General features: G+C 42.4%; 1 protein-coding gene across 3 annotated transcripts in view, besides 1 other annotated feature; it reads right to left on the minus strand.

Annotated features, from left to right (window-relative positions):
- C3orf33 (chromosome 3 open reading frame 33) overlaps positions 1–7,448 on the minus strand; it is a 43,662-nt gene extending 36,214 nt beyond the window's left edge. The window contains exons 1-3 of one of the 3 annotated variants that reach the window (NM_173657.3): positions 7,309–7,448; positions 6,767–6,893; positions 3,702–3,761 (exon numbers count right to left, since the gene is read on the minus strand). In NM_173657.3, the coding sequence (NP_775928.1) occupies positions 3,702–3,746 (45 nt within the window). In that variant the 5' untranslated portion in view covers positions 3,747–3,761; positions 6,767–6,893; positions 7,309–7,448. The remainder of the gene's footprint in view (positions 1–3,701; positions 3,762–6,766; positions 6,894–7,308) is intronic. The other 2 variants (NM_001308229.2, XM_011512710.3) reach the window with 2 other exon arrangements.
- Positions 7,383–7,732: a silencer, noted in NCBI's record as "silent region_14833". NCBI's record gives its function as "represses an Ori minimal core promoter by ATAC-STARR-seq in GM12878 lymphoblastoid cells {active_cell/tissue: GM12878}" and the evidence as "EXISTENCE:reporter gene assay evidence [ECO:0000049][PMID:35858748]".

Below are 13,583 nucleotides of genomic sequence, written 5' to 3' on the forward strand. Positions count from 1 at the left end.
ACAACCCACAGAACAGGAGAAAATATGTGCAAACCATCCATCTGACAAGGAATTAATAACCAGATTATATAAAGAGCTCAAGCAACTCTACAGGAAAAAAAATCTAACGATCTCATTTAAAAATGGTCACGAGATGTCAATAGGCATTTCTCAAAAGAAGACATACAAATGGCAAACAGGTACATGAAAAGGTGCTCAACATCACTGATCATCAGAGAAATGCAAATCAAAACTACAATAGGATATCATCTCATCCCAATTAAAATGGCTTTTATCCAAAAGATAGGCAATAACAAACGCTGGCAAGGATGAAAAGGAAACCTTCGTACACTGTTGGTGAAAAATGTAAATTATTACAACCGTTATGGAGAACAGTTTGGAGGCCCCACAAAAAACTAAAAATAGAAGTACCATATGATCCAGCAATTCCACTATTAGATATATACCAAAAGAAAGGAAATCCGTATATCAAAGAGATACCTTTAATCCCATGCTTATCACAGCACTATTCACAATAGCCATGATTTGGAAGCAACCTAAGTGTCCATCAACAGACGAATGGATAAAGAAAATGTGGGCTGGGTGCAGTGGACCATGTCTGTAATCCCAGCACTTTGGGAGGCCAAGGCAGGCAGATCACTTGAGCCCAGGAGCTGGAGATCAGCCTGGGTAACATGGCAAAACCCTGTCTCTCCAAAAAGTACAAAAATTAGCTGGGCATGGTGGCTCACACCTGTGGTCCCAGCTACTCAGGAGGCTGACATGAGAGGATCGCTTGAGCCCGCAAGACCAAGGCTGCAGTGAGTCATGATCACACCACTGCACTCAACCTGGGTGACAGAGTGAGACCTTGTCTCAAAAAAGAAAAAAGAAAATATGGTACATATACATGGTAGAATACTATTCATCCTTAAACAGAACTGTTGTTTCCAACACCATGGATGGAATGGAGGTCATTATGTTAAGTGAAGTAAGCCAAGCAGAGAGAGACAAACTTTGCATGTTCTCACTTATTTGAGGGAACTAAAAAATTTAAAAATTGAATTCATGGAGACAGAGAGTAGAATAATGGTTGCCAGAACCTGGGAAGGGTAGCTGGGGATGAGCAAGAAGTGGGGTTGGTTAATGGGTATGAAAATATAATTAAATAGAATGAATAAGATCTAGTATTTGGTAGCACAACAGGGTGACTACAGTCAACAATAATTTATTGTACATTTTAAAATAACTAAAGGAACATAATTGGATTGTTTGCAACACGAAAGAAGAAATGCTTGAGGTGATGAATACCCTATTTACTCTGATGTGATTATTATGGACTGTATGCCTGTATCAAAATATCTCATGTACCCCATGAATATATACACCTAGTATGTACTCACAAAAATTAAAATGAAAAAAGGAAAACATAGACAAATTGGACTTCATAAAAATTTAAAACTTGCACATCAATGAGCACTCTCAACAGAGATTAGAAAAAGTAAACACATAGGTGGGGTGCAGTGGCTCATGTCTGTAATCCCAGCACTCTGGGAGGCTAAGATGGGAGAACTGCTTGAGGACAAGAGTTCAAGACCAGCCTGGGCAGCACAAAGAGGCGCCATTGCTACAGAAAAATTAAAAATTAGCCAGGCATGGTGGCAGGTGCCTTTAGTCCTAACTACTCAGGAAGCTGAGGCATGAGGATGAGGATCACTTGAGGCTAAGAGGTTGAGGCTGCAATGAGCCATGATCATGCCAGTGCACTCTAGCCTGGTCAACAGAGTGAGACCTTATCTCCAAAAAAAAAAAAAAAAAAAAAAAAAAAAAAAGGCAACATACAGAATGGATGTGAGAAAATATTTGCAAATCATTTATCTAATCAGGGACTCAGAATGTACAGAACTCCTAAAATTCAACAACAAAAAAACAAACAACCCCATTCAAAAAGGGGCAAAAGAGCTGAACAGATATTTACACAAAAGCATATATGAAGGGCCAATAACCACATGAAAAGATGCTCAACATCACTAATCATTAGAAAAATGCAAATCAAAACCACAATAAGATACTACCTCAAACTCATTAGGATGACTACTAACAAAAAACCAGAAAATAATAACTGTTAGTAAGGATGTGCTGAAATTGAAACTCTTGTGCATTGTTAGTGGTAACATAAAATAGTACAGCCACTGTAAAAAACAGTATGGCAGTTACTCAAAAAATTAAAAATAGGACGGGTGTTGTTATCCCAGCACTTTGGAAGACCAAGGCCGGTGTATCACTTGAGGTCAAGAGTTCGAGACCAGCCTGACCAACATGGTAAAACCCTGTCTCTACCAAAAATACAAAACAATTAGGTGTGGTGGCAGGCGCCTGTAATCTCAGCTACTCAGGAGGCTGAGGCAGGAGAATTGCTTGAACCCAGGAGGTGGAAGTTACAGTGAGCCAAGATCACACCACTTCACTCCTTCCTGGGCGACAGAGTGAGACTCTGTCCAAAAAAAAAAAAAAAAAAAATTAAAAACACAATGACCATCTAATCCACTTCTGGGTATATAACTGAATCTCAAAATAACTAAAAGTAGGATCTCAAAGAGATATTTGTATATGCATGTTCATAGCAGCATTATTCACGACAGCTAAAACATGGAAGCAACCCAAGTGTCCATCAACAAATGAACAGAAAAGCAAAATGTGATATACACTTACAATGGAATATTGTCAGTCTTAAAAAGGACAAAAATTATGATATATGCAACAACATGGATGAATCTTAGTAATACCAGGCTAAGTGAAAAAAGCCAGTCACAAAAAAATACCATATAATGCCACTTACATGAGATATCTAGAATGGTCAAAATCATGGAGACAGAAAATGGAACGATAGATGCCAGGGGATGAGGGGAAAGGGAAGTTGGAGTTATTGTTTTTTTGTTTTGTTTTGTTTTGTTGTTTGAGACAGAGTTTCACTCTTGTTGCCCAGGCTGGAATGCAGTGACACGGTTTCAGCTCACTGCAACCTCTGCCTCCCAGGTTCAAGTGATTCTCGTGCCTCAGCCTCCTGAGTAGCTGGGATTACAGGTGCCTGCCACCACACCTGGCTAATTGTTTGTATTTTTAGTAGAGACAGGGTTTCATCATGTTGGCCAGGCTGGTCTCGAACTCCTGACCTCAGGTGATCCACTCGCCTCAGCCTCCTGAAGTGCTGGGATTACAGGCATAAGCCACCGCCCCGCCCCCTGGAGTTGTTTAATGGGCATAGAAAAAATATTATGTCTTATGCTACCAATAAAACATTATTGAAAGAAATAAGAAAATGTGCTAACTGGAAGCATAAATTATTGAGTGCTAAGGGACATAATTCAACTGTGGTCTAAATCAAAAAGCACCACAAGAAAACACTTTAAGATATTCTACAGTGTTTGAAATGCAAATTTAGTGATTATAACATTCTAGCAAACTAAATCCTTTTCAGATTCCTTTTTAAGCATGAAAAAAAGTGATTATGGAAATATAAACCACGCAATTACTTTCTGTAAAATCCTGTGGATGTGTTATATTTAAACCAAGACCTTAAAATATGTTCATTGTTCTAAAATACTATTTAAAAGCTACCAATACGAGTAACAATATGATACACTGTTTGAGATAAAAATTGTCTGAAATGGAAATAAACTACCTACGGCTTGTTGTAATGTCTTTTTCATTTTTTAACTTACCAGTCGAATGCTTCTCAAAAGTAACATTATTCCAGCTATGGCCATTCCAGTGCTGATGTTCTACAGAAAGAGATTTAAGGGTTAACCCTCACTAATTATTAGTCACAATAATGAAAGCACTAATTAGAAGGTAGAAAAAAAGAAGACTGTCCTCTCTATATCTAATGTGTATAAACAATGTATGTCTTTCAAATAAAGGCCCACTTCTTCAAAAACTGTCCACTCGTTCATTATGATGAATTCTTTTAACTTTTATAGTACTCAAATTCTTTCCCAATCTGGCACACAGAGACATTTATATATATATTTAAACATATATACATACATGTATATGTAAACATATACACACACATATACACACCCACCCACCCCAATACACAGATACATATATGTATATAGTATTGGATTGTTCTCTACTGATCGTATTATTTAACTATCAGTTCCATCAATATATGAACTGGTCTAGTACTTCCTATACAGTACCCATAGTAATTAGTATAACCTTGCATCCATAGTAGGAATTTAAGTATTTAGTAGAAAATTTTATCACTAAACCTTAATATACAGCACTTGGCAGATGTGGGTAAATGGCTAGGGAATATTAAGCGATGTTTTTAAAGTGTTTCATTTAAACTGGGGTAGGCCTAAAGGAGTTAATGAAAAATTAAGAATCCTGCAACTCTCTCAAAAAGAGTAATAATCTAACACACTTTCCTTCCATCAATACAACTAGGTATATAAGAAATGAGATTGGCTGGGCATGGTGGCTCACACCTGTAATCCCAACACTTTGGGAGGCCGAGGCAGGCAGATCACAAGGCCAGGAGATCGAGACCATCCTGACTAAAACGGTGAAACCTCGTCTCTACTAAAAATACAAAAAATTAGCCGGGCGTGGTGGTGGGCGCCTGTAGTCCCAGCTACTCAGGAGGCTAAGGCAGGAGAATCGTTTGAATCGGGGAGGCAGAGGTTGCAGTGAGCCGAGATCGTGCCACTGCACTCCAGCCTGGGTAACAGAGTGAGACTCAGTCTCAAAAAAAAAAAAAAAAAAAAAGAAATGAGATTGAGGCCAGGTGTGGTGCCTCACGCCTGTAATCTCAGCACTTGGGGAGGCCGAGGCGGGTGGATCACTTGAGGTCAGGAGTTTGAGACCAGCCTGGCCAACATGGTGAAACCTCGTCTCTACTAAAAATACAAAAAACTAGCTGGACGTGGTAGCACACATCTGTAATTCCAGCCACTCAGGAGGCTGAGGCACGAGAATCGCTAGAACCCAGGAGGTGGAGGTTGCAGTGAGCCGAGATTGTGCCACTGCACTCCAGCCTGGGCGACAGAGTGAGACTCTGTCTCAAAGGAAAAAAGAGGCCGGCGCAGTGGCTCATGCCTGTAATTCCAGCACTTTGGGAGGCCAAGGCGGGCAGATCACCTGAGGTCAGGAGTTCGAGACCAGCCTGGCCAACATGGTGAAACCCCATCTCTACTAAAAATACAAAAATTAGCCAGGCTTGGTGGCAGGCACCTGTAATCCCAGCTACTCAGGAGGGTGAGGCAGGACAATCACTTGAACCTGGGAGGCAGAGGTTGCAGTGAGCCGAGATCACACCATTGCACTCCAGCCTGGGGGACAAGTGCAAGACTTGGTCTAAAAAAAAAGAAAAAGGAAATGAGATTGAAAATATGCACAAAGGTACATACTCTGGGTTCTGTGATTGGATTATTTGTAATATTATAACTATGTTCTAATTTACACAACTTCCTCCCATAATCCTTCTGAAGTCATTTTTTAATTTGAAATAACCCATGCATCTATTACTGCTTAACTGGAAGAAATGAGTTTTCACCAATTAACACATATATTATTTACCATTCAATGATGCTACAAATATTTATCTAGCACTTACTAAGTAGCAGGCATTACTCTAAGAACTGGGGCTACAATGATGAGTGAAAACAGGCATGGCTTTGGACTTTGTGCTGCTTGGCTGTAGAGCATTTGCAAAGTTATCTTACTCAACTTTCCAGTATTATTTTTTAAAGTTAATGATTCCTTCTGAAAACATTTTCTTCACTTGGCTTCTAGAACACCTGGCTGTCTTGACTTTTTTACTACCTCACTGTCTGCTTCTTCTTAGTCTTTGCTGACCTCCTCTTTACTCCCCAGATTCTCAATGTTATAATCCCCCAAATTCTAGGGCTTCTTCAGTAGCTTTTCTCACTTGCTCTGAGATGTTATTCAAGCCCACGGCTTTAAATGCTACTTAAGGTTTATGCAGGTCATTCCCAATGTTCTATGTCAGGTTCTGATCTCCCTTCAACACCGGACCCCATATCCAGTTGCCAAGGACAGCATCTACAATTCTGCTTAGAAGTCTAATAATGATCTCCAAATTTGCACATCTCCATGTACGTGTCCAAAAAGTTCTCTAGATTTTCCCCAATAAATCATTTATTCCAACTCCTTCTCCTTATCAGCAACTATTACCAGCCTCCTTGGACCTCTTTCTTTGTACCTCACACCCAAACAATTCATATCACCACAATTCTGTGTCTTAGCCACAACCCTCTCTTGCCTGGTGGCCTAACATGTCCCTCTCTTGCTTCAACTCCAGAGGCTTAGTGCTTCACTTAAAAAAAAAAAAAAAAAAAAAGGCAGGGCACCAGTGGCTGATGCCTACAATCCCAGTGCTTTGGGAGGCCGAGGCGGGCAGATCTCTTGAGACCAGGAGTTCAAGGCCAGCCTGGGCAACACAGGAAGACCTTGCCTCTACAAACAAAAAACAAATTAGCCTGGTGTGGTGACAAGTGCCTGTAGCCCTAGCTACTCGGGAGCCTGAGGTGGGAGGATTGCTTAAGCCCAGGAAGTGGAGACTGCAACGAGACATAATGGTGCCACTGCACTCCAGGCGTGACAGAGGGAGACCCTGTCTCAAAAAAAAGAAATCTATTCGGGAGGCTGAGGTGGGAGATCACTTGAGGCCAGGAGTTGGAGGACAGCCTGGACAACATAGCAAGACTCCCAGTCTCTAACTCTAAAAGAAAGTAGTCGATGGGGTAGCGCACGCAACCTGTGGTTCCAGCTACTCGGGAGGCTGAAGTGGGAGGATCTTTTCGGCCGAAGTGGGTGGAGCAGCAGCAGTGAGCTATGATCGTGCCACTGCACTCCAGCTTGGGCCAGAGAGGAATACCGTGTCCCTAAAAAATAAAATTAAAAATAAATAAAAATTAGAAATGCTCTCTCCCAAGGCGTACAGGACTTCCCTGCTCTTCCTCGGTCTCCTCTCTGGGCCCTCCCCAAATGCTCTAATGGACCAGGTGGCATCCCCGAGCTGGGCTGCGTCTCACCCTTTGAGGTGCCCCCTACAGCCCAGCAAGGATCCAGAACAGTCCTTGTAATAATGAGGCCGAACTGGCCCCCTGGCCCGCCCCCGGCCCTCTGCAGCCCCGCACACACGACACTCGCGATGTCGCCCTCTCGAGCTCATTCCCCCGCAGTTTTCTGTCGCTCCCCGGCCCCGGCGGGATCCACGCCTGAGGCCTCACGTTGTTCTCAGGGTCGCTCTGTGCCGCCCCGCGCCCACCACCCGCCCAGACTGCGTGGCCCCAGTACCCGGACTAGGCGCAGGTGGTCGTCTGCCCACTGCGAGATCCGAGCCACGACGTTGGGCTCCATTCCGTCCTTGTCGGCAGACGGCGAGCCGGTGGCCGCGGGCTGCCCCGCCATGTTCCCGGCCTCCTGCGAGCGGCCCTGAGCTCCTCCGGCTGGCGGCAGGGGGCGCCGCTCACCTCGGGAAGGCGGCGGGGTCCCCTTCCCCGCGGACCGGGGTGGCCCCGCGACCTGCAGTCGCCAGTGGGCGGGCCCCAGATATCAGACGTCTTAACAGTGCCCCAACCGCTTTTATGCAGGGTGATTCCACGATGCAGGAGATCTCTGAGCAGCACTGTGGGGGCTGAAGCATTCCCTATCAAGCTAGTAGGATGATTGTCAGCTGGTGACTTCAATTCACTCAGCTGCAACGTGGTTTTCGCAGGTGCCACACAAGGAAGGAAATTGAAGTAATTCATTCCTTCCACCTGCTCCCAAGGAACAGCATATGCATATTTTTTAACCAAATACGACCTGTCCTTGAAACCTATGCATATTTCTTATATTCAAATTGTGCTTTAAAGTTTTAAGAGCTGCTCTGAAAGCCTAATATCACATGCTCTAAATCTTTGAGCTGTTAGAAAACAGTAGTTAATACATTTTAAATAAAACAAAAATTAGATACAGAGCAGTGCAAATAATATGGTAACATTTATGTAATAAAAATATATATTGAGGCCGGGTGTGGTGGCTCCTGCCTGTAATACCAACACTTTGGGAGGCCGAGGCGGGCGGATTACTTGAGGTCAGGGGTTCGAGACCAGCCTGGCCCACATGGCGAAATTCCGTCTCTACTGAAAATACAAAAATTAGCTGAACCTGGTGGTATGCGCCTATAATCCCAGCTACTCAAGAGGCTGAGGCAGGAGAATCGCTTGAACCTGGGAAGCGGAGGTTGCAGTGAGCCAAGATCGTGCCACTACACTCCAGCCTGGGTAACAGAGCAAGACTCCATCTAAAAAAATAAATAAATACTAAATACTATACAAGAAACTAGTAACAGTGACTACCCCGGGAAACGGAAGGTAGGAAAGGGCAAGAGGTTTCACAATCTGCCACCTCTAATAAACATTTTTCAGTGATAGAAATGTCCTGTAGCTTCATGTGGGTATTGCCTGCATGAAATGTGGCTACTGAAATCAAGGAACTGAATTTTTAACTTTATTAATTTTAATTAATTTAGTCACATATGGCTAGTGGCTATTATATTGGAGAGTGCAATTATACTACTGGAGTTTTTTTTTTTTTTTTACTTTATGCAAATATTACCTTTAAAAGTCAAAACAGACTATGTTGTATTCCTAACAATACATATTATGAGTGGTGGCTTCAAGGAGTGTATTGTCTCTGTGTTATAGCCAATAGAAAGTAAATAACAGCCGGGCGTGGTGGCTTACGCCTGTAATCCCAGCACTTTGGGAGGCTGAGGAGGTTGAATCATGAGATCAGGAGATCGAGACCATCCTGGCTAACACAGTGAAACCCCATCTCTACTAAAAATACAAAAAATTAGCCAGTCGTGGTGGCATGCGCCTGTAGTCCCAGCTACTCAGGAGACTGAGGCAGAAGAATCGCTTGAACCCAGGAGGCAGAGGTTGCAGTGAACCAAGATCGCACCACTGCACTCCAGCCTGGGCCACAGAGCAAGACTCTTGTCTCAATAAAAAGAAAAGACAAGAAAGTAAGTAAATAAGAATCGTTGACACTTGGGTCTTGCTTGCTATGCGCCAGGTATTGTTCTAGGTGCTTCTCAGACATTAACTCCCTTCATCCTCCCAGCAACTCATGAGGTAGGCACTATTATTAATCCCAGTTTTACAGAGCAAGTATGCACAGAATGATTAAGGCAGTAGCTAAGGTCACCTAGCCAAGAAGTGATAAACTGGGATGTTGTGCAGGCATTCAACTCAGCCAGTTGGCTCACTCTGTGCAGTTAACCACAACACTGTCTCTTATACAGGCAATTGGCCAAATCACAAAAATACCTACAAATTTCCATCAAGGGTGGAACACAAATGATATTGGGGAAAATCCATCTACAAAGATACATATTAATCCATAATCACTATTTCAAATAAAAATATCTCTGTGTTACTAGATTTAAAATAAATTTAGTTAATAAAAGGAAAGGAAGTGTGGATTTCTTAGGCAATCATTTGCCTAACATTACTCCTTTTGGTTTTCCAATGTCCCATACCTCTTCTCTCCTATCTGCTAGCATTTTCAGTGTCCTAGTTGAAGACAGGTTAGTCCATTCTGCCTACTTTCCATCCCAAAGTCTTTCTTAATATTTCAGATGTCAGCCACCTGGACATCTCTAAGTCCTCTAAATGTCTTTAAGTCTCCTTCAATAATGTTTCAGCATCACCTCACTATGCATTGATGTGAGAAATCTAGTGCTTGTTCCAGGACTTCTGCAGATTAATCAGAGACTTATGCTCCTGAGTTAGATCCACCAAGGCACACTGTTCCTTTTCCTGCTGGTAATTTCTGAAAACTCACTGAATAAGATGATTACATGACCTCAACAGAGAGATATACATGAAAAGCCACACTTAGATTCACTGCCCCATCCCTTAATTTCCTACAATACCATGAACATATCTGTAATAGACTCTTACTGAATGTTTGAAATTAATGAGGTGGAATTATCATTTAAAAAATTGATTGGAGGGCTGGGCATGGTGGCTCATGCCTGTAATCCCAGCACGTTAGGAGGCCAAGGCTGGCAGATCACCTGAGGTCAGGAGTTCGAGACCAGCCTGACCAATATGGAGAAATCCCATCTCTACTAAAAAATACAAAAAAATTAGCCAAGTGTGGTGGCGCATGCCTGTAATCCCAGCTACTCAGGAGGCTGTGGCAGGATAATTGCTTGAACCCGGGAGTCAGAGGTTGCAGTGAGCTGAGATCGCACCATTACATTCCAGCCTGGGCAACAAGAACAAAACTCCGTCTCAAAAAAAAAAAAAATGATTGGATACTAATGTAAGTGTTCCCAGAGACCAAAGAAAAAGAAAAAAGTTGAATATTTCATGAGAATCTCACCCCAGTTTCTAGCCTTGGTTCCCAGTTTCAAAGTCAACCATTCTATTTTTCTTACACAACATACCTCAGGATCAGATGAGGTCATGATTTCCTTGCTCTTCAAACTATTATCATTTTTTCATCCTCTTCAGGATTTCATTGGGGCTGTGATCTTGTGATTTCCTATGACTCCCTCTTATTCACTGAAGATTTTACATCTGACTTAAAGACTTTATCTTCATCTGAATTCCTCTCATTGTTCTCATCTCTTAGTTGTTTGACTGTCATGCCCAGTGACCTTTTCTTCTTCCCCACTTCAGCCATCCACTTCTATAGTCACACCTTGGAACTTTTCCTCACTAGAAATTACCATATCCACAATCACAGTGCTAACACCTCACTCTCCTGAAACAACTTTCAGTTCTTCTGGCTCACTTGTAAAAATACCCATTACAAATAATCCTTTGAGTTAATTGAGATGCCAGTCCACTGAACCACCATGATCTATTCATCACCTCCCTCTAGAATTCAGTTGCTGTATTACCCAGCTTAGACTCAATAGTTTATCCTTACAATTACTCCTTTGAAAGCTTTCTGACCTCTCATCTTCCTCTGCCTCTTTTGCACTTGCCTGGCAAAACCCCAACATGGGACTATACCCAACTTCTACCAGTTAGAGTAAGATATGGTGAGATCTTCAGCTTTTTAAAAGAGAAGCTGGGGCTGGGAGCGCTGGCTCACGCCTGTAATCCCAGCAATTTGGGAGGCCGAGGAGGGCAGATCACCTGAGGTCAGGAGTTAGAGACCAGCCTGACCAACATGGAGAAACCCCACCTCTACTAAAAATACAAAAATTAGCTGGGTATGGTGTGGGGTGCCTATAATCCCGGCTACTTGCGAGGCTGAGGCAGGAGAATCCCTTGCACCTGGGAGGCAGAGGTTGCGGTGAGCCGAGATCGCACCATTGCACTCCAGCCTGGGCAACAAGAGCGAAACTCCGTCTCAAAAAAAAAAAGAAAAGAAAACAAAAGCTGGAAATCTAGATTTTTATATGAAATCTCCCTGTTTTAAAACTAAAATTAAGGGTTGGCACCATACTGCACTAAGTATGGATATGCCCTGAGGCAGAAACTACATTCTTTTAGTCTGTTACCTCTGCTTTAAGGGTACTCCATTGCTCAAGACCGGCCTGACCAACAGGTGAAACCCCAACTTTACTAAAAATACAAAATTATCAGGGCATGGTGGCAAATGCCTGTAGTCCCAGCTACTCAGGAAGCTGAGGCAGGAGAATCGCTTGAACCTGGGAGGCAGAGGTTACAGTGAGCCAAGATGCGCCATTGCACTCCAGCCTGGGCAACAACAGCAAGACTCCCGTCTCAAAATAAATAAATAAATAAATAAAAGTCGGGGGGTACTCCATTGTTCTTTAGGTAAAATCAAAAGTCCTCAGGTTCACACGCAAGGCCCTGCATGATCTAGACCCTGCCTGTCTCTCCAAGCTCATCTTTCCTACTCCCTACTTCATTCATTATGCCTCAAACATACTGACCTTTTCTCTGTTCTTCACAATGTTAGATTCACCCCTGTCTGAAAGCCTTTACACTCACTGGTCCCTCAGCCTAGAATACCCTGATCCTTCTACCTTTACGTTTTCCTACAGCCCCTCACAACCATCACCAAGCTGCCTCATTATCCTTCATATCTCATTTTAAACATCATATCCACAAGAAGTGTTTTCTAGCACTCTCTCAAGTAAGTCTGCACCATCCATAACACAAATTTATAATTTTAGGATTGATTTATGCTTTTTTTCCCCCTTTCTCCCCCACTATAGAACAGGGACTGTGTCTTTTTACTATGTCTCTCTGTCTATGACTTAAGACCCAGTGCTGAGCATAGTTCCTGATACATAGGAGACTCTAAGTATTAGCCGAATGAAAGAGATATTTTCAATTATCTAAACTGCAAAGTGTCTACCATCCTTCCTTCTCTTCTAAGATAAGTCTATTTCTGTCCTCATCCTCTTCCCTTCCATTCCCTTCCATTCTCTACAGCCATTAGAGAGAGCAGAGGTAGTAACTTGAATCCACACTAAGAATTAAAGAGTACCAGTAAAGGTAACTAAACAGATAAATATAAAATACAGTATAAATGTTTTTGTTTATAGTTCTTTCCTTCTCCTATATGATCTAAAGGGCAACTGGAATAAAACCATAATCATAAAACTGTGTAGATGGGCTTATAATAAAGATATAATTTGAATGGCAATAATAGCTCAAAGGATTGGGGGAGGGAACAGCTATATTGGAGCGAAGTTTTTGTATCTATTAAAATTAAGTTGATATTAATCTGAACTAGATTATTTTAAGACAAGGTGTTAATTGCAAACATTAGAGTAACCACTAAGAAAATAACTCACTCTATAATTACCAGAGTAACCACTAAGGAAATAACTCACAAAATTGTCATCACTAGAGCAACCACTAAGAAAACAACTCACAAAACCACTAAGAAAAGGAAAAGAAGGCCGGGCTCGGTGGCTCACGCCTGTAATACCAGCAGTTTGGGAGGCCAAGGCAGATGGATCACGAGGTCAGGAGTTCAAGACCAGCCTGGCCAAGATAGTGAAACCCCATCTCTACTAAAAATACAAAAATTAGCCAGGCCTGGTGGTGGGCACCTGTAATCCCAGCTACTCAGGAGGCTGAGGCAGAGAATTGCTTGAACCCGGGAGGAAGAGGTTGCAGTAAGCGTAGATGGCACCACTGCACTCCGGCCTGGGCAGCAGAGTGAGACTCTGTCTCAATAAAAAAAAAAAAAAAAGGAAAAGAAATAGAAAGGTAATTAATTTGGCCTATTAGAAAATATCTTTTAACACAAAGGAAGGCAATAAGCCACAAACACTGTCCCCCTTGTCAGGGAGCAGAAGTTTATGATCCCTACGAATACTATCGTTAACCTATCTTCAGCAACTCTATTTTTGCCTCACTGGGTATTTCTTATTCTCCTTCCTCTACTAACACATACATGGTTATCTCTCCCATACAACCTTCTAAAAAACTACTGTAAAAATTGATTATATGGATTGGAATAACTTCTGTCACACTCAACTAAATCAGAATCAAGGGACCAGGGGTAAAAAGCCCCAAGGCACAAAGCAGTTCCTCTAGGAAGTGTATGGCAGCCTCTCCTTAGCTTCTGAAACGGCG

The sequence above is a fragment of the Homo sapiens genome, chromosome 3 (assembly GCF_000001405.40).
Source record: "Homo sapiens chromosome 3, GRCh38.p14 Primary Assembly".
In the NCBI taxonomy this organism is placed as follows: domain Eukaryota; kingdom Metazoa; phylum Chordata; class Mammalia; order Primates; family Hominidae; genus Homo; species Homo sapiens.